The 17560-nt window shown below is 44.6% G+C and overlaps 1 protein-coding gene and 1 pseudogene across 2 annotated transcripts in view, besides 3 other annotated features; one reads left to right on the top strand and one right to left on the bottom strand.

The window, feature by feature from the left end:
* The window catches only part of PDIA3 (protein disulfide isomerase family A member 3), a 26841-nt gene extending 19785 nt beyond the window's left edge, over positions 1–7056 (bottom strand). Inside the window, exon 1 of the mRNA NM_005313.5 lies at positions 6788–7056. Within this exon, the coding sequence (NP_005304.3) occupies positions 6788–6954 (167 nt within the window). The 5' untranslated portion in view covers positions 6955–7056. The remainder of the gene's footprint in view (positions 1–6787) is intronic.
* Positions 6431–6480: an enhancer, noted in NCBI's record as "active region_9322". NCBI's record gives its function as "activates an Ori minimal core promoter by ATAC-STARR-seq in GM12878 lymphoblastoid cells {active_cell/tissue: GM12878}" and the evidence as "EXISTENCE:reporter gene assay evidence [ECO:0000049][PMID:35858748]".
* Positions 6491–6540: an enhancer, noted in NCBI's record as "active region_9321". NCBI's record gives its function as "activates an Ori minimal core promoter by ATAC-STARR-seq in GM12878 lymphoblastoid cells {active_cell/tissue: GM12878}" and the evidence as "EXISTENCE:reporter gene assay evidence [ECO:0000049][PMID:35858748]".
* Positions 7041–7340: a silencer, noted in NCBI's record as "silent region_6387". NCBI's record gives its function as "represses an Ori minimal core promoter by ATAC-STARR-seq in GM12878 lymphoblastoid cells {active_cell/tissue: GM12878}" and the evidence as "EXISTENCE:reporter gene assay evidence [ECO:0000049][PMID:35858748]".
* CATSPER2P1 (CATSPER2 pseudogene 1) lies at positions 7196–17560 on the top strand (annotated as a pseudogene). The gene is made up of 4 exons (NR_002318.2): positions 7196–7446; positions 8324–8472; positions 8926–9099; positions 16486–17560. The product of NR_002318.2 is annotated as a CATSPER2 pseudogene 1 (transcript).

The following is a 17560-nucleotide window of genomic DNA, read 5'->3' as shown; positions in this document are numbered from 1 at the left end:
CCCTTTTGACCAATTAATGAGGCTGAATGAAGGACAAAATAGAAATAATCCCATTTCTGATAGAATTCCCCAGAGGAAAATACAATTCCCTGGGAAACCAGCATTGTGGTTGTTAAAAATAGTGACTGAAGCTCACACCTGTAATCCCAGCACTTTGGGAGGCCAAGGCGAGTAGATCACTCGAGGTCAGGAGTTCAAGACCAGCCTGGCCAAAATAGTGAAACCCCGTCTCTACTGACAATACAAAAATTAGCCAGGCGTGGTGGTGGGCACCTGTAATCAAAGCTAATCGGGAGGCTGAGGCAGGAGAATTGCTTGAACCTGGGAGGTGGAGGTTGCAGTGAGCTGACATCGCGCCACTGCACTCCAGCCTGGGTGACAGAATAAGACTCTGTCTCGGGGTGGGGGTGGGGACACAAAATTGTGACTGAAACCCTGTAATGTCTCAAGTATGATATTAAGTCTTTTAGATGGCAGGCCTGATTTTTACAGCTACATAGTTCACCTAGCCATGAGAAGTGATAACAAAACATGTAAACTAGAATACCTTTCCCAGAGGGCCACCAGAAGCACCGGCTCCTCTGCCCAGAAAATCCTAATCAGTGTATATACAGCTAGCACCAGCTGTACATCACCTTTTCAAAAGCCAAAGGGTTGCAGAGGGATCACGTTGAGAAGGTGAGTTCTGTAACCTTCCCGTAGACAGCAAAAATAGAAATATAATAGAGAAGAAACTTGAGCAGATATATTTCAATAGTCAATGGTGTAATTTTATCAAGTGATGGATAACTTGGAAATATTGTACACCTAAAACTTGTTTAAAATAAAGGATTATAACAGCTTATTCTCCAAGGCCTTCAGGCGGCCTATTAAAGTATAAAAGAACCAAATGATAAATACCAAATTCAAGATAAAGGAGTGTATAAGATGGTAAAGGGGCACATAGGGGACTTCAAATGTACTGGCTATGTTTTTCAGACTGAGTGCAAACAAATGCTATTCCTTATGCTGTATTTCAGATTCATTGTTTTTTCCTGATATTAAGATGTATTTTGCAGTCATGTTATAGTTTCAGTGGTAGTATTTCTTTCTCAGTGAGACACAAGATAGTTCCTCTCACAATCAGTGGTATCTTATGTGTGTGAAATAGGGTCTTATTCATTATATCCTCTGTATTCCTTTAATACTGCATAGTAAATGGATTTTAAAGGGAGTAACAATTGGATCTGGGTCTTTAAGGATTTAACGCTTCAGAGAGAAGAGGGCAGGGTATTTAAGATGAGGGAGATAGTAGAGCAAACGTAAAAGAATACCAGTAAGCATGATGCATTCAGAGAACTGTAAAGGGCTTTTGTGAGATAATAAATGTGCGTGCACGTGTACTAAGACTACGTCAATCAGCAATGTCAAAGACTGACAGAAAGGGAGAAAATAGAGACAAGAGTAAAGCCATCTAGAAGATAATATATTTCACATGGCAGACAATAAAAGCTTGGACCGGAATGGCAGCAATGAGAATAAAGAAGAGACAGATGAGAGATTTCTGTTGAATATATAGTAGTTGTCAAGGCTGAGGCAACAGATTTATGAGTTAATTGTTTCAACTATCTTCAAACATTTTAAGAGAAAAAAATCACATACAATAGTTACTAGGTCAAGCCAGTAGGTGTCAACTCTAGATGCTTATCAAAAATACCCACAGAGCATTAAAACAACAAAAGTATGCATGGCTTACTGAATGAGAATCTCCAGAAATCTGGGGAGCAACCAGGTGTGTGTGTAAGCTGCAAGGCTGGGACTAAAATCCACTGCCTTAAACTTTGGCAATATCCATAAGGTCATCAAATCCACAAAAAGAGTTTCAATGAGGCTGGAGGAGACTCTCCTCTTCAAATCCAGCAGGAATGGAACTCAGGTGGTATTTAAGGGAAATCAGGGTTGGTTAACATACATCCTTCAAGATTAACCACTACTTCTTTCACCCACCCCTAGAAAATATTAAAACACAATTAATTCTATCTATCCTCAGGGATGGCACCTGGCAGTTGATAATGAATTCCAACATATATTCACCCATAATCATCACTTCATCATGTGTGCCATGCGTCAAGTACTTTTTGATAAGTGCCTTATCAAGTGTCTTTGATAAGAAAATTGGTATAGTCCTTTCCTTATAGGAACACCAGTCTGGCAGGGGTGACACAGTATTATTAGATGCCAATAGAGAGGCAGGATCAACCAGTTAGTTGTCCAGGGAAGGAAAAAAAAAATATGAGCTAAATGTTGATGTTGAAAAGATCAACTCGGGGTGGGGATTACAAGTAAAGAAATTAGCACATATATTATTTTTTTTTTTTTTTTCGAGACGGAGTCTTGCTCTGTCACTCAGGCTGGAGTCCAGTGGCATGATCTCAGCTCACTGCAACCTGCACCTCCCAGGTTCAAGCAATTCTCCTGCCTCAGCCTCCTGAGTAGCTGGGATTACAGGCTCCTGCCACCGTGCCTAGCCAATTTTTGTATTTTTAGTAGAGACAAGGTTTCCCCATGTTGGCCAGGCTAGTCTCAAACTCCTGAACCTCGTGATCTGCCCACCTTGGCCTCCCAAAGTGCTGGGATTACAGGCGTGAGCCTTTGCACCCAGCCATTATTTATTACTACTGTCTTAGAGGGTAGCATACACATCTATAGCATAAATAGATGTTGAGGACTTTTTTTTTTTTTGAGAAGGAGTCTCGCTGTCGCCCAGGCTGGAGTGCAGTGGCGTGATCTTGGCTTACTGCAAGCTCCACCTCCTGGGTTCACACCATTCTCCTGCCTCAGCCTCCCGAGTAGCTGGGACTACAGGCACCTGCTACCACGCCCAGCTAACTTTTTGTATTTTTAGTAGAGACGGGGTTTCACCATGTTGGCCAGGATGGTCTCGATCTCTTGACCTCGTGATCCACCCGCCTTGACCTCCCAAAGTGCTGGGATTACAGGCGTGAGCCACCGTGCCCGGCCAAGGACTTAATATTACATATTAACACTAATCAATAAATTTTCGGACATTTCCAAACATTTAAATAGTGTTATTTCCCCAGAGAAATTCAGATACTCTTATCCTTAAAAATATATAGCAGATTAACTCCATAATGGAAATATTAGTCTACAAAATCAACTGCAAAGAAAGCTTTCACTAAGCCAGGCACGGTGGCTCACGCCTGAAATCCCAGCACTTTGGGAGTCCAACGCAGGTGATTCAGGTGAAGTCAGGAGTTCAAGACCAGCCTGGCCAACATGGTGAAACCTGGTCTCTACTTAAAAAAAAAAAAAAAAAAAAAAATTAGCCAGACAGGGGAGGCGGAGGTTGCAGAGCCGGGATCGCGCCACTGCACTCCAGCCTTGGCAACAGAGAGAGACTGTCTCAAAAAAAAAAAAAGCAAGCAAAGCAAGCTTTCACCTTTCACTTTCACTTGAAACATGAAAGCGGAAAAAGAATTTGCTTAAATAGGTCTATTTTGTGACGAGAATAAGGTTAAAAAAAAAAAAGCCCATTTTACTTTCTTTTTTGAGATGGTCTCACACTGTCATTTAGGCTGGAGTGCAATGGTGCAATCTCAGCTTCCTGCAACCTCCACCTCCCAGGCTCAAGTGATCTTCTCCTCCCACCTCAGCCTCCTGAGTAGCTAGGACTACAGGCGTGTGCTACCATGCCCGGTTAATTTTTGTCATTTTTTAGTAGAGATGGGGTCTGGCCATGCTGCCCAGGCTGGTCTCTTACCTCGCCACTGCCTCCTGGGTTCAAGTGATTTTCCCAACTCAGCCTCCCAAATAGCTGGGATTACAGATGTGCGCCACCACGTCCAGCTAATTTTTGTATTTTTAGTAGAGATGGGGTTTCCCCATGTTGGCCAGGCTGGTCTGAACTCCTGATCTCAAGTGATCTGCCTGCCTTGGCCTCCCAAACTGCTGGGATTACAGGAATGCACAACAGGGCCAGACCCCATTTTACTCTTACTAAGGATTTTTTAACTGTTTCTTGTAAGATAGTACTACTGAACTGTACAAAGGAATATAGCAGTCAGAAAACATTTCCAGCTGAAATGTTAATAAATAAAAATACAGAGGCCAGGCTAGGTGGCGCACGCCTGTAATCCCAGCACTTTGGGAGGCCGAGGAGGGTGGATCTCCTGAGGTCAGGAGTTCACCATCAGGCTAACATGGTGAAACCCCGTCTCTACTAAAATACAAAAATTAGCCGGGCTTGGTGGTGCGTGCCTGTAATCCCAGCTACTCAGGAGGCTGAGGCAGGAGAATCACTTGAACACGGGAGGCGGAGGTTGCAGTGAGCCCAGACCATGCCACTGCACTCCAGCCTGGGTAACAGAGCAAGACTCTGTCTCAAAAACAAAACAAAACAAAACAAAACAAAAACAAAAAAACAGGCTGGGTGCAGTGGCTCATGCCAGTAATCCCAGCATTTTGGGAGGCCAAGGTGGGCAGATCACCTGAAGTCAGGAGTTCGAGACCAGCCTGGCCAACATGGTGAAACCCTGTCTCTATTAAAAATACAAAAAAATTAGCTGGGCATTGTGGCAGGCACCTGTAATCCCAGCTACTCGGGAGGCTGAGGCAGGGGAATCACTTGAACCCAAGAGGCGGAGGTTGCAGTGAGTCAAGATAGTGCCATGGCACTCTAGCCTGGGCAACAAAGCGAGACTCCATCTCAAAAAAAAAAAAATACACAAACACACACACAAAAAAAATGTAGTGGAATGTGAAGAAATAAAGACCTCAACAGGAGACTTCTTTAACTCCAAATTGCTCATTCAGAAAACTCATCTTTCTTGCTGAAATTGTGGAGGATGACTTTTTCTTTTAAACCAATTAAAAGCAGACACCACAGCAGAGATCCACCCAATTCTTGGGACAGTCAGTGCCTGATGGGATATGTAGTTTTTAGGGTAGCACGTGTAACAATTTAAAGTAGGAAACACCCCCTTCAATTCAAATAAAAAATTCTGGTTTTTTTTTTTGAGACAGAGTTTCGCTCTTGTTGCCCAGGCTGGAGTGCAATGGCAGGATCGTGGCTCACTGCAGCCTCTGCTTCCTGGGTTCAAGCTATTCTCCTGCCTCAGCTTCCTGAGTAGCTGGGATTACAGGCATGTGCCACTATGCCCGGCTAATTTCGTATTTTTAGTAGAGACGGGGGTTTCTCCATGATGGTCAGACTGGTCTTGAACTCCCGACCTCAGGTGATCCGCCTGCCTCGGCCTCCCAAAGTGCTGGGATTACAGGCGGGAGCCACCATGCCCAGCCCCAAAATTCCTTTTTTAAACTAATATTCTAGTGGCCCACTATTCTCCAACAATTCCTACTTTAAATTGTTGCATGACCCCTGTAGTAAAAAGCATCACTCAGATCTGACAAACTTAGTGACACCCCCAGTTTTTACAAATTATTGACACCCCCTCAAAGCTAACAGCATGATTATATAATTGGGAAGAGTTGTTCCTAAGAGAGAACATGAGTTCCAGAGATGTATAAGAACTATCTATATGTGTAATCTGTACTGCCAGTTAGCCCCAGAAATGCCCTGGACACAAAATCTGTCCAAGCTGCAAACAAAATTTGCCATCTCTAGCACATCATTCTGATTCAGGTGGTCTTTACTACAGGACTTTTTTCGTGTAACCCTTAGCAAGTTGTTTGAGGCTAAGAAGGGAAGACCTGAGTCTGAAGCAAATAAAAGTTATACACAACTTTTACTGACATTTTTGAACACGGATAGTATTAAACCAAGGGTCACTGTGCCAGGAGGGGAAAAATTAAGTACTGTAATTATATATATTGAATTATATATAGAGAGCTATCCCCAGGATAAAGGAATCACTGTTTACTCTGGTAATGATCTGGAGGTTTAAAAACACACACACACACAAATAAAAAAAAAAAACAAACACTCAAGTTGACTGGGCCAGAAATCTTATTTGCTCTTCCTTCTCCCCAACAGTTTTTTATTTCGAGTTAGTTCTATCTAAGGAATTTACACCCTTGATCACTTAAGTCACCCTAAAGTGGAGTATGTAATCAATATTGGTTATTTTCTCATTGGAGTCTTTTTTGACATTTTAAAGAAATGCTATTTAAAACAGACAATATGGACAGATTCTGATGGAATTATTCTTGTTCACGTACTCCTTTCGTTTGGACAGAGGTATCTGCCGGTACTGAGATGTAAGTGATCAGCTGAAGGGAGAAACTGTACACCATGTGACGGACAAATTACCTGCCTCAAGAAAGCACTTACGACCATTCTGCAGCCACTCAGTGACCTTGGCTAGAAACCAATGGCTGTGCGGCGTGAGGTAAGATGAAAGGAAATACCCTAGGGATCCAGGACTTCTGCATTTGGTGAAACGTCCGCTTCCACTACAAGGCTTTGGGATGCCTAGTCTGTAGACTGGAGGAGCATTAATACTGACTCACGCAGAAAAGATATAGCTACATATTGGACTGGGGGAAGGGGTGGCAAAACCCTCTGCAAATAGGAAGTGCCACAAGAGCACCGAGATAAGGATGAGGCCCTGCGTGAGCGCAGCCTTCGGGTTTTCCTTGGGCCGATCAGCACCGACTCCCCCGCTCTCGGCGAGGCGCCTCCAGCTCCCGGGAATGAGAAATGTGCCCGCCGCAGCAGGGGCCCACAGGAATGAAGGGCCCCGGCGCTGCGTAGGCCCAACAGTTCCCCGCGCTCTCGCCCCCGGCCCAGCCCCGCCTTTCTTCCCCCGCCTCGGCAGAATGGACTCACCAGGGGGCGAAGAACTCGACGAGCATGAGGCCCGCAGAGCCCGTGTCGGAGATGCGACTCTCGAAGTTGTCGTCCGTGAGTTCTAGCACGTCGGAGGCAGCGGCGAGGCGGGCCGCGGCAAGAAGCAGCGCCACACCCGGGAACAGCGCTAGGCGGCGGAGGCGCATGGCGGCGAGGTGGGGTGGGGACGGCCGGAAGGGTCGCGGCTCGGCTGGGACTGCGGAGGTCGGGCGCGCGACCACTAACCCGCTGCTTGCGCTCGCGCGTCTGGCCCAGGCGGACCTGCAGCCGGAGGTCCCAACCCCCAAACCCGGCTTGGGCCGCTGTGTGGCAGCCGCTGATTGGCTGCGCGTCGCCTTCGTCGGGCGGGCGGGACCAACTCGTTACCGCCGAGTGGCCGGAGCGCGGGGCGGGGCCGAGGCGGCGAGTGTCTGGGCGAGCGTGGCTGGGCCCGGTCCTGGGCTGGGGGCAGGGGCTAGGGCCGGGTCCCGGGGTGAGCCGAAACCTGGGGGTCGGGCGGGGCGGGAAATGGGGCGCAGTGAGGCTGGGAGCCGGCCCTGAGCTCGTCCTGCGTAGGGGTAGCCGGGCTCAGGGGGCGCCTGAGCTGGAGGTGGAAGCGTGAAGTCAGGACTGAGTGGGCGAAGAGAACCTGGGCTGAGGTGAGGCCCAGAAGCGAGAATGGAGGAGAGAAGGAGCTAGCCCCCGAAGGAGTGTTGGAGTGGACACACTTGGGACGGGACCCATTTTCAAAATGTCAGGCTTTGGCATTTTGTCCAATTTCTCTTCACTTGGTTTCTCTTGCGTGGGCAGGCCAAGCCCTCCCCCAACTCCACCTCATTGCCCGATTCTCTCAGGCCCAGGTGGGACCCAGGTTCTTCTTTGTCCAGCCCCGGGCCCCTGCCCTTGTGGCTGCTCCTTTTTTATTGAGTTTCTTGTTTTGTTTTGTTTTGTTTTGTCTGAGATGCCGTCTTGCTCTGTCCCCCACGCTGGAGTGCAGTGGCGCGATCTCCGCTCACTGCAAGCTCTGCCTCCCGGGTTCACGCCATTCTCCTGCCTCAGCTTCCCGAGTAGCTGGGCCTACAGGCGCCCGCCACCACGCCCGGCTAATTTTTTGTATTTTTAGTAGAGACCGGGTTTCACCGTGTTAGCCAGGATGGTCTCTATCTCCTGACCTCGTGATCCGCTCGCCTCGGCATTCCAAAGTGCTGGAATTACAGGCGTGAGCCACCACGCCCGGACTTTTTTTTTTTTTTTTTTTTTTTTTAATGAGCTTTTAATTGGTAGTGCCGTCACAAAGTGAAGATGCCTGGCCACTTGGTCGACTGCTCAATGTCTTTACCACTCTTAGCCCCTTTTGTTTCAAAAAACCCTGAGTCTTAGTAGAATGTTTGTTCTGCCCAACTGCTCCTAGTTCGTAGATGTGGGTACATTAAGGAATCTTAAGGGCAAAGAGGGTGGGGAGGAGGGGACAGAAAACCTGTAATCCTTGGTGCAGCTCCAAGAATGAAATGACACTTGATGCTTACATTTTCTTAGCAGACATGGCCGCTTACCAACAAGAAGGGCAGATGCAGCTTCCCCGAGCTGATGCCATTCGTTCACGTCTCATCGATACTTTCTCTCTCATCGAGCATTTGCAAGGCTTGAGCCAAGCTGTGCTGCGACACACTATCAGGAGTTACTTGGTCAGCAGCCTATTTCTTCACTAATTTAAATTTAAGACTCCTATCCACATCCTCTACATTTAAGAGTGGAAAATTCTGGGGAGGCCGGTTTAGTTGCTGGTTTACCAAACTTGATAAATCAAGGGCTTGTAAATAAAACTAAGGAGATAGAATCCACGTCTTTCACTTTTAGGCCTAGGATAGCCACTAGCCGTGGATGATACGGAACAGTTTCTGTCAAAGACTCTTAAAACTTTGAGAGTGAACCTGCTGCTTTTGTGGGCATGGACAGTGTTGGTCATAAGCAATACATTTGCTCTCACTCCAAACAGAATTCTTAGTTGCTGTGAGAAGAGAAGGACCAGCAGTAAGCCATTAGGGGGACCCATTATCTGAACAGTATCCCTGCCCCCAACCCTACCTGGTCTATTTTGTTTGTATTTATCCACTACCCCTTTTCAATTTTTGTTGTAGATCCTTCCCGCCAGAAGAAACTTATGTTGGGAGATCAACACCAGCTAGTGGGCGTCTCTATAAAGCCTCAACGTATAGAACAGATTTCACATGCCCAGAGGCTGTTGAGCAGGCTTCATGTGCGCTGCAGTCAGAGGCCACCTCTTTCTTTGTGGGCCGGATGGGTCCTTGAGTGTATCCTTTCATGTCACTCATTTTTATCCTGGCTGTTGATCATCTGCCTAATGACTTATTTTTTGCTTCCCAAACTCCATTGTCTCATTCTCACTGCTTATGTTATTGCTCTTATTATTTCAGCTGCATAAATCAGAAAGAACTCCACTCTGTATGTTTCCTTAAGAGACAACAGGTCCTCTCTTCAAAAACTTCATCATCTTCCTGATCTTTTTGAATACGATCGTACTGATGGTTGAAATACGTGAGAACTGACATTGTATGAAAGAGGAAGTGAGGCCAGGCGCGGCGGCTCACACGTGTAATCCTAGCACTGTGGGAGGCCGAGGCAGGCGGATTGCCAAAGCTCAGGAGTTCAAGACCAGCCTGGGCAACATGGTGAAACCCTGTTTCTACTAAAAAATACAAAAAATTAGCTGGGCGTGGTGGCATGGCCTGTAGTCCCAGCTACTCGGGAGGCTGAGGCAGGAGAATCGCTTGAACCCAGGAGGCGTAGGTTTCAGTGAGCTGAGATTGTGCCACTGCATTTCAGCCTGGGCGACAGAGTACAACTCTGTCTCAAAAAAAAAAAAAAAAGAAAAAGAAAAAGAGGAAGTGGGTAGGAGTAATTTTTTTTTTCTAAATTGATCATTTTACATTTTTGAATGTCATTTGAAATGTGACATTTATATTAAGGACAATTAAGCCTCCTGGAGTAGAATTTATGCAACTGCTAAAATCTAGAAATATTCGCTGGGCACGGTAGCTCACACCTGTAATCTCAGCACTTTGGGAGGCCGAGGTGGTTGAATCACTTGAGGTCAGGAATTCAAGACCAGCCTAGCCAACATGGCGAAATCCCATCTCTACTAAAAATACAAAAAATTAGCTGGGCGTGGTGGCGGACACCTGTAATCCCAGCTACTCAGGAGGCTGTGGCAGAATAACACTTGATCCTGGGAGGCGGAGGTTGCAGTAAGCCGAAATCACGCCACTGCACCTGATCTCAAAAAAAAAAAAAAGAAATATTAATATTTGGAGGGCTCTCAAGCGTATACTAGATACAGAGCATCTAGACACATAAAACTAGGTGTAATATGTAGCAATGTAACAAATCCACAAGGAATTGAACTTGGGAAGACCAGTTTTATTTCTGTTGTCAGTTTAGGCTGACAATTGTTTGCATTAACCTTTTCTGTTAAAGATATTGGTGCCTATCGGTGAATGATCTAACATTTACATTTTTTTTTTTTTTGAGACGGAGTTTCACTCGGTCGCCCAGGCTGGAGTGCAGTGGCACGATCTTGGCTCACCACAAGCTCAGCCTCCCAGGTTCACGCCATTCTCCTGCCTCAGCCTCCGAAGTAGCTGGGACTACAGGTGCCCGCCACCACGCCCAGCTAATTTTTTGTATTTTTTAGTAGAGACGGGGTTTCACCGTGTTAGCCAGGATGGTCTCAATCTCCTGACCTCGTGATCCACCCGCCTCGGCCTCCCAGAGTGCTGGGATTACAGGGGTGAGCCACTGCGCCCAGCCTAACATTTACATTTTTACAAGTATATTTAGAAATATTATTCAAGTAAAAATAAGAAAGCTCACAAAGTATGGAAAGGTAGGTACCACTAAGATATTAGCTGAGCCAAAAAAATTACTTAAAAGGAAATGATTCTTAAACCAATAATAAATTATATGAAACATATTCAAAACATAAGGATGTCTGCAAAATCAGTGAGCTCATTTGTTGATAATCTCAAACTGCTCAGAAATGATGAAAGGACAGTAGAACTACTCACTTGTTTCATTCTCACTGTTGTAGAGAAGTCTCCCACTTTATTTTTTAGTGACAGAGTCTCACTTTGTTACTTAGGTTGGAGTATAGTGGTGTGATCATGGCTCGCTGCATCCTCAACCTCCAGAGCTCTATTGATCCTCCCACGTCAGCCTCCTGAGTAGCTTGGACTACAGGTGCATGCCACTACACCAAGCTAATTATGTTGATTTTTTTTTTGTAGAGACAGGGTCTCACTATGTTGTCCAGGCTGGTCTTGAACTCCTGGGCTTAAGTGATCCTCATACCTCAGCCTCCCAAAGTGCTGGGATTACAGGCATGAGTTACCACGTCCAGCCTAGGAGGAATTTTTAAGAGAAGGGCGTAGTTATGAAGCTCTTGGCTGTTTATGTCACACAGATATTTTCCTCAACAGAAGTGTCCAGTGCCGGTAGCCAGTTCAGAACTCTGCCTCTAGCTCCAAGTCCCCTACAAGCTTATCTCTGGGGCCCAGGCATGGTGGCTCATGCCTGTAATCCCAGCACTTTGGGAGGCTGAGGCAGGAGGATTGCTTGAGCTCAGGAGTTTGAGACCAGTCTGGCCAATGTGGAGAAACCTCATCTCTACAAAAAATACAAAAATTAGCTAGGTGTGGTGGCACATGCCTGTAGTCCCAGCTACTCAGTAGGCTGAGGTGGGAGGATCGCTTGAGCCTGGGAGGCGGAGGTTGCAGTGAGACATCGTGCAACTGAACTCCAGCCTAGGTGACAAAGTGAGACCCTGTCTCGAAAAAAATAGTCCTTTACTGCAGTCAGGTCAAAGATATTTAAATAAACAACAATAATTGATGTCACGGACCCACTACAGTATACTATATACTTTGAGGTGTTTTATTTCCTCCTCATAATGGTGAAGATTTTGAACTAAGTTACTTATAATTCCCTTTTATTGTATGATTGCTGCCATGTATTTGCCTTGCATGGCTAGGATTATAGTACTAAGCCTTGGAATGAAGTAAATAATAGTAACTATACAGGATTTCCTAGATCAGTGGTCCCCAGCCTTTTTGGCTTCAGGGACTGGTTTCTTGGAAGACAGTTTTTCCATGGATGGGGTAGGAGGGAGGTTTCAGGATGAAGCTGTTCCACCTCAGATCATCAGGCATTAGATTCTCCTAAGGGTCACGCACATGCAGTTCACAATAGGGCTTGCCCTCCTATGAGAATCTAATGCCGCAGCTGATCTGACAGGAGGTGGAGCTCAGGCGGTAATGCTCACTCACCCACCACTCACTTCCTGCTGCATGGCCGGGTTCCTAACAGACCATGGACTGGTACCAGTCCGTAGCCTGGGGCTTGGGACCCCTGCCCTAGATCTAATAGACAAATCAAAATAGAATAGCACTAACTATTCTATTTGGTAAAACAGTTAACTGAATATGAAACATGATCACTGTGTCAGAGGATAAGTAGATTGCCAGACTAGAAATTATCTGGCAAGCTCGTGGAAATTTTATCTTATTAAGTTTATTCTTGTGGGAGAAACGGAGGAGGGATTTTGCAGAGGGAAATTATTTGTGATTAACAGATTTCTTTGAACAGACTAATTCATATGATAAACATTAAGACTTTTTTTAGGCTTAAAATTTTTTTTCCAGATCACAAAGCGATCTAAACTGTTAGGGCTTTAAAAAATCTACTTCCACAACTGGATATTGGTAATTCTGTTTTGCACTTTATTTTTTAAATTTTATTATTTTATTATTATTATTTTTTGAGACGGAGTCTCGCTCTGTCACCCAGGCTGGAGTGCAGTGGCACGATCTCGGCTCACTGCAAGCTCTGCCTCCCAGGTTCACGCCATTCTCCTGCCTCAGCCTCCCGAGTAGCTGGGACTACAGGCCCCTGCCATCACACCTGGCTAATTTTGTGTATTTTTAGTAGTGATGGGGTTTCACTGTGTTAGCCAGGATGGTCTCGATCTCCTGACCTGGTGATCCGCCCGCCTCGGCATCCCAAAGTGCTGGGATTACAGGCATGAGCCACTGTGCCTGGCCTCTGTTTTGCACTTTAAACATCAATTGGCTTATTTTTAAAATCTTGTATTTTGTTTCAAATAATGAGAAAGAAAAAATGATTTGACTCATTTGCAAGCCTTTGTCAGAAAATAACACATTGCAAGTGTAGACAATCTCTACTTAAAATTAAAAACTGAGTATATTAGGAGGGTGAGGTGGGAGGATCACTTGAGCCCAGGGGATTGAGGCAGCAGTGAGCTATGATCTCACCAGTGCACTGCAGCCTGGGTGACAGAGCAAGATTCTGTATCAAAAATAAAATAAAACCTAAGTATAATATCATTACAATTTTTTCCCAAAGGTGGGCATATTCCTGAAGATTACAATTTTTTACATTGACTTTTAAAGTCCTAGAGAGGGTTTGATGTGCTATATAAAGTTTTTGGTCATATGAATGGAATTTATAGAATCTGATGAAGATCATCTTGAGATTAAACTTGCAGAATTGTCATTCTTTTTTTTTTTTTTTTTTTTTTGAGACAGACTCTTGCTCTGTCTCCCAGGCTGGAGTGCAGAGACGCCATCTCTGCTCACTGCAAGCTCCACCCCCTGGGTTCATGCCATTCTCCTGCCTCAGCCTCCCAAGTAGCTAGGATTACAGGCGCCCGCCACCACGCCCAGCTAATTTTTTGTATTTTTAGTAGAGACGGGGTTTCACTATGTTAGCCAGGATGGTCTCGAACTTCTGACCTCGTGATCCGCCCGCCTCGGCCTCCCAAAGAGCTGGGATTACAGGCATGAGCCACCGCGCCCAGCCAGAATTATCACTCTTAATGCTCTTCATGAAATTGTATTTCTGGCTGGGCATGTGGCTCATGCCTGTAATCCCAGCAATTTGGGAGGCCTAGTCCTGCGGATCACTTGAGGTCAGGAGTTCAAGACCAACCTGGCCAACATGGTGAAACCCCATCTCTACTAAAAATACAAGAATCAGTGGGTATGGTGATGTGCACCTATGGTTCCAGTTACTCAGGAGGCTGAGGCAGAAGAATCGCTTGAACCCGGGAGGCGGAGTTTGTAGTGAGCTGAGATGGCAGCTGGGCAACAGATTGAGTGAGACTCCATTTCAAAAAAAAAAGAAAGAAAGAAATTATGTTTCAACATCAGTGTTCCTTGTTTCATGATGGATATAACTAGCCAAAACATTACTAAAAATATTAAAACTGTAAATGTCAAAATCTACATAACAGTTTATTGTTACAGTGTACTATTCTCCTCACCTATAGTATTGGACTCCTTGAAACCAATGTGAATTTACCTGGTATTCTGTGAGGTGACCTACTGTTGTTTTTCTAGAATAGGGAGTAGCAATAGATGACTGTTCATGGTGAACTCTACCTTGTAAAACAGAATTATGTATTTGCCTGACTTGCTTGATCAAATGGCTACTGTCTGTCACCCTGAGAAGAATATTGAAACATAGATGTTCACTGCTACTTCACTTCACTGGCTAAGATTCCTGGGTAGACTTCACTGGGCTCCTGGTCTCTATTTCCATTAAGACTCCTTTGCTTTGCTATAGCAGCCTGAAAAATTCCAAGAATTTTAAAAAGTTATTTTTCATCTTCAGAGAGGACACATTACTTGATGTAGAGTGGAGGCAGTCACTTCTGCACATTCTGTGCTGCTGAGGCAATTTCTGCTATTCGTTCCTCTGAACTTCCTTGGGTTTGTTTAGCTTCTATAAAATTATTCATTTTTCCAGAGAGTAAAAGTGCTACTGCTTCTATAATTTGGACTTCCCTACTTAAACTATTTTAAACTACTCAAAACTATATTCTGCTTTACAAGAGCCTTATTTTACTTCATTGCTCTGTTTGGGTTCCTGTTTTGCAAGGGCAAAAACTGAATAAAAATTATAGCATTCTATTTTCCAGCCACAAATGTGGTCCTCAGCTCTTTCTAATTATATAATCCCATGCTCCTGAGAGCTAGAATTTATTGTTAAGTGAAAAAATTTTGTATTTTATTGAATTTAAGCTGTCATCAATGGTGAAATTCACTGTTTACCAATAAGAAATAAAAATCATGCTCAATTAAACTGGGACACATCGCTGGTTGTAAAATGCATCCTCACTTTGGGAGGCCGAGGTGGGCAGATCACGAGGTCTAGAGATAGAGACCATCCTGGCCAACATGGTGAAACCCCGTCTCTACCAAAAATAATAAAATTAGCTGGGCATGGTGGCGCAGAGGCAGAGGTTGCAGTAAGCTGAGATTGCACCACTGCACTCCAGCCTGGAAACAGAGCGAGATTCCATCTCAAAAAAAAAAAAAAAAAAAAAAAGCATCCTAATTTCATGGATGTTAAAATGTGAAATATTGTCCATCTTAGAGAAATGTGCATGAAAGAAAAACTTACGGAAGAAGTACAGAGCCTAAATAAGCATAGGAGTGCTGGGTGCAGTGGCTCATGCCTATAACCCCAGCACTTTGGGAGACCAAGGCCGGAGGATCGCTTGAGCCCAGGAGTTTGAGGCCAACCTGGGCAGCATAGGGAGACCCCATCTCTACAAGTAATTTAAAGAAAAAATTAGCTGGGCATGGTGACATGTGCCTGTGGTCCCAGTTACCCAGAGGCTCTTGAGCCCGGAAGATCCAGGCTTCCGCGAACTGTGATTATGCCACTGCACTCCTCCAGCCTGGGTGACAGAGTGAGACTCTGTCTCAAAACAAGCATAGGAATAAGTATAGTGTAACCCCATTGGTTTTTAGAAGGGGCCAACCTCTGTAAAATTCTAGGGATGATCGAAGTATGGTTCTGTTCTTTTTGTCTGGATCCAGTTCAGCATCAGGATGAATTTAAAGCCAGAGCACCACAATGTTGATTTCTATTTAGCTCTTAAGCCATTTTAATTTCAGTGTTTTTTTTTCTAGAGCATGGCATACATCCATTAATTGTATAAAAGAGATGAAGAAGGTTGAAAGAGAAAGGCAATGAATTAAGGAATAGCAATTGGTAAATAATAAGGTTCTAGAGAGGAAGTATGCATTCAATTTGCTTTGCAGAACAAAACCAATTTTAGGCAGGGAAGAAAGGAAAAGTTTTAAAAGAAAGCTAACAGAACCAAGTGATTTATTGTTATAATTCGATATACCCTAATGATTGTGGCTTGTTTCTACATTCGTTATAAAGTAGTTCAGATATCATGGCCCTGTATTTTCATTCTGTTCTCAAGACCCATTGCTTTCTTGTGAACTTTGGGACTGAGATAACAGTACAGTAGATGGGGGTGGGGGGTTGGAGGTAGGGGTAATTAAAGAGAGTAGTCTCTTAGTAGCTGTGTGAGCCCCAGAGTGGATCGCAAGTGACTTGTAGCTGGGCAGACATAACTATATGAACAGATTGGTTGTGGCTGTGTTTTATGGTCAATTCTGTCCTTCCCTGTATTTCACAGGTTGAAGCAACAGTGTTAAGAAGAGAAACTCTTAACTCTTAACACAGTGTGAAGAAAAATGGAACAGTAGTGGGCAAAACTGTGGTTTATAAGTGTGTTCATTCTCCATCATTCGGTTTCCAGCTTCCTTAACTTTTATTCCTCCTTTGCTCTATCCTCACAGAATTGCTGGAATCCACAAATACCAAACTATGGCCATTGAAGCTGACCTTGGAGGGGGCAGCTTGGTTTATCTTGCTTATTTTCATCCTGGAGATCCTTCTTAAGTGGCTATCCAACTTTTCTGTTTTCTGGAAGAGTGCCTGGAATGTCTTTGACTTTGTTGTTACCATGTTGGTAAGGATAGAGATCCTGAGGGTTCGTTTAGTGGGATGAAGAATGTGCCTAGGTGAATCGAAAGAACAAGTTAACATGATAATAGGAAGAAACAAAAATTTACTTAACTTCTTTCTTTTGATTTTTTTTTCCTAAAACTAAACATCAATCATTGCAGGAGTTGTTGGTATTAGGAGCAAAGTAGACTAACTACAACATCAATGCCAACAAGAGCATCTGCCGGTTACTGAGCACTTACTAAGTGCCAAGCACTATTTTAAGTGTTTTCCTTACATTATCTCATTTATGCTCCACAACAACCTAATTAAATAACCATGAATTTTATCCCCCTTTTTATATCTGAACAAGTTGAAGTATAGTGTTTAAGCAACTTAATATAGAAAGGCTGAATAGTAAGCACTTCTCAGAGAATGCTATTCAAAGGATAACGCCCAGGGAACAATGAAGAGGATAAGATGAAGAAGCTGCAATTCTGCCTGGGTGCCTTGGGGTGTATTTTACTTATAACCTGTGTGTTTTCCACAGTCCCTGCTTCCCGAGGTTGTGGTATTGGTAGGGGTAACAGGCCAATCGGTGTGGCTTCAGCTTCTGAGGATCTGCCGGGTGCTGAGGTCTCTCAAACTCCTTGCACAATTCCGTCAAATTCGAGTTATTATTTTGGTCCTGGTCAGGGCCCTCAAGGTGATTTGACTGTTGCAAGCTAAAGCAGGGGGCAAGGTAGATAAATGTGAGGGCTTAACATAGAATATGAAACAAATTGGCCGGGTGCGGTGGCTCATGCCTGTAATCCCAGCACTTTGGGAGGCCGAGGGGGATGGGTCATGAGGTCAGGAGTTCGAGACCAGCCTGACCAACATGGTGAAACCCTGTCTCTACTAAAAATACCAAAAAAAAAAAAAAAA

This window comes from Homo sapiens, chromosome 15 (genome assembly GCF_000001405.40).
Source record: "Homo sapiens chromosome 15, GRCh38.p14 Primary Assembly".
Classification (NCBI taxonomy): Eukaryota; Metazoa; Chordata; class Mammalia; order Primates; family Hominidae; genus Homo; species Homo sapiens.
Note: the sequence above shows the minus strand (reverse complement) of the source record. Positions and strands in the feature narration are given on the sequence as shown.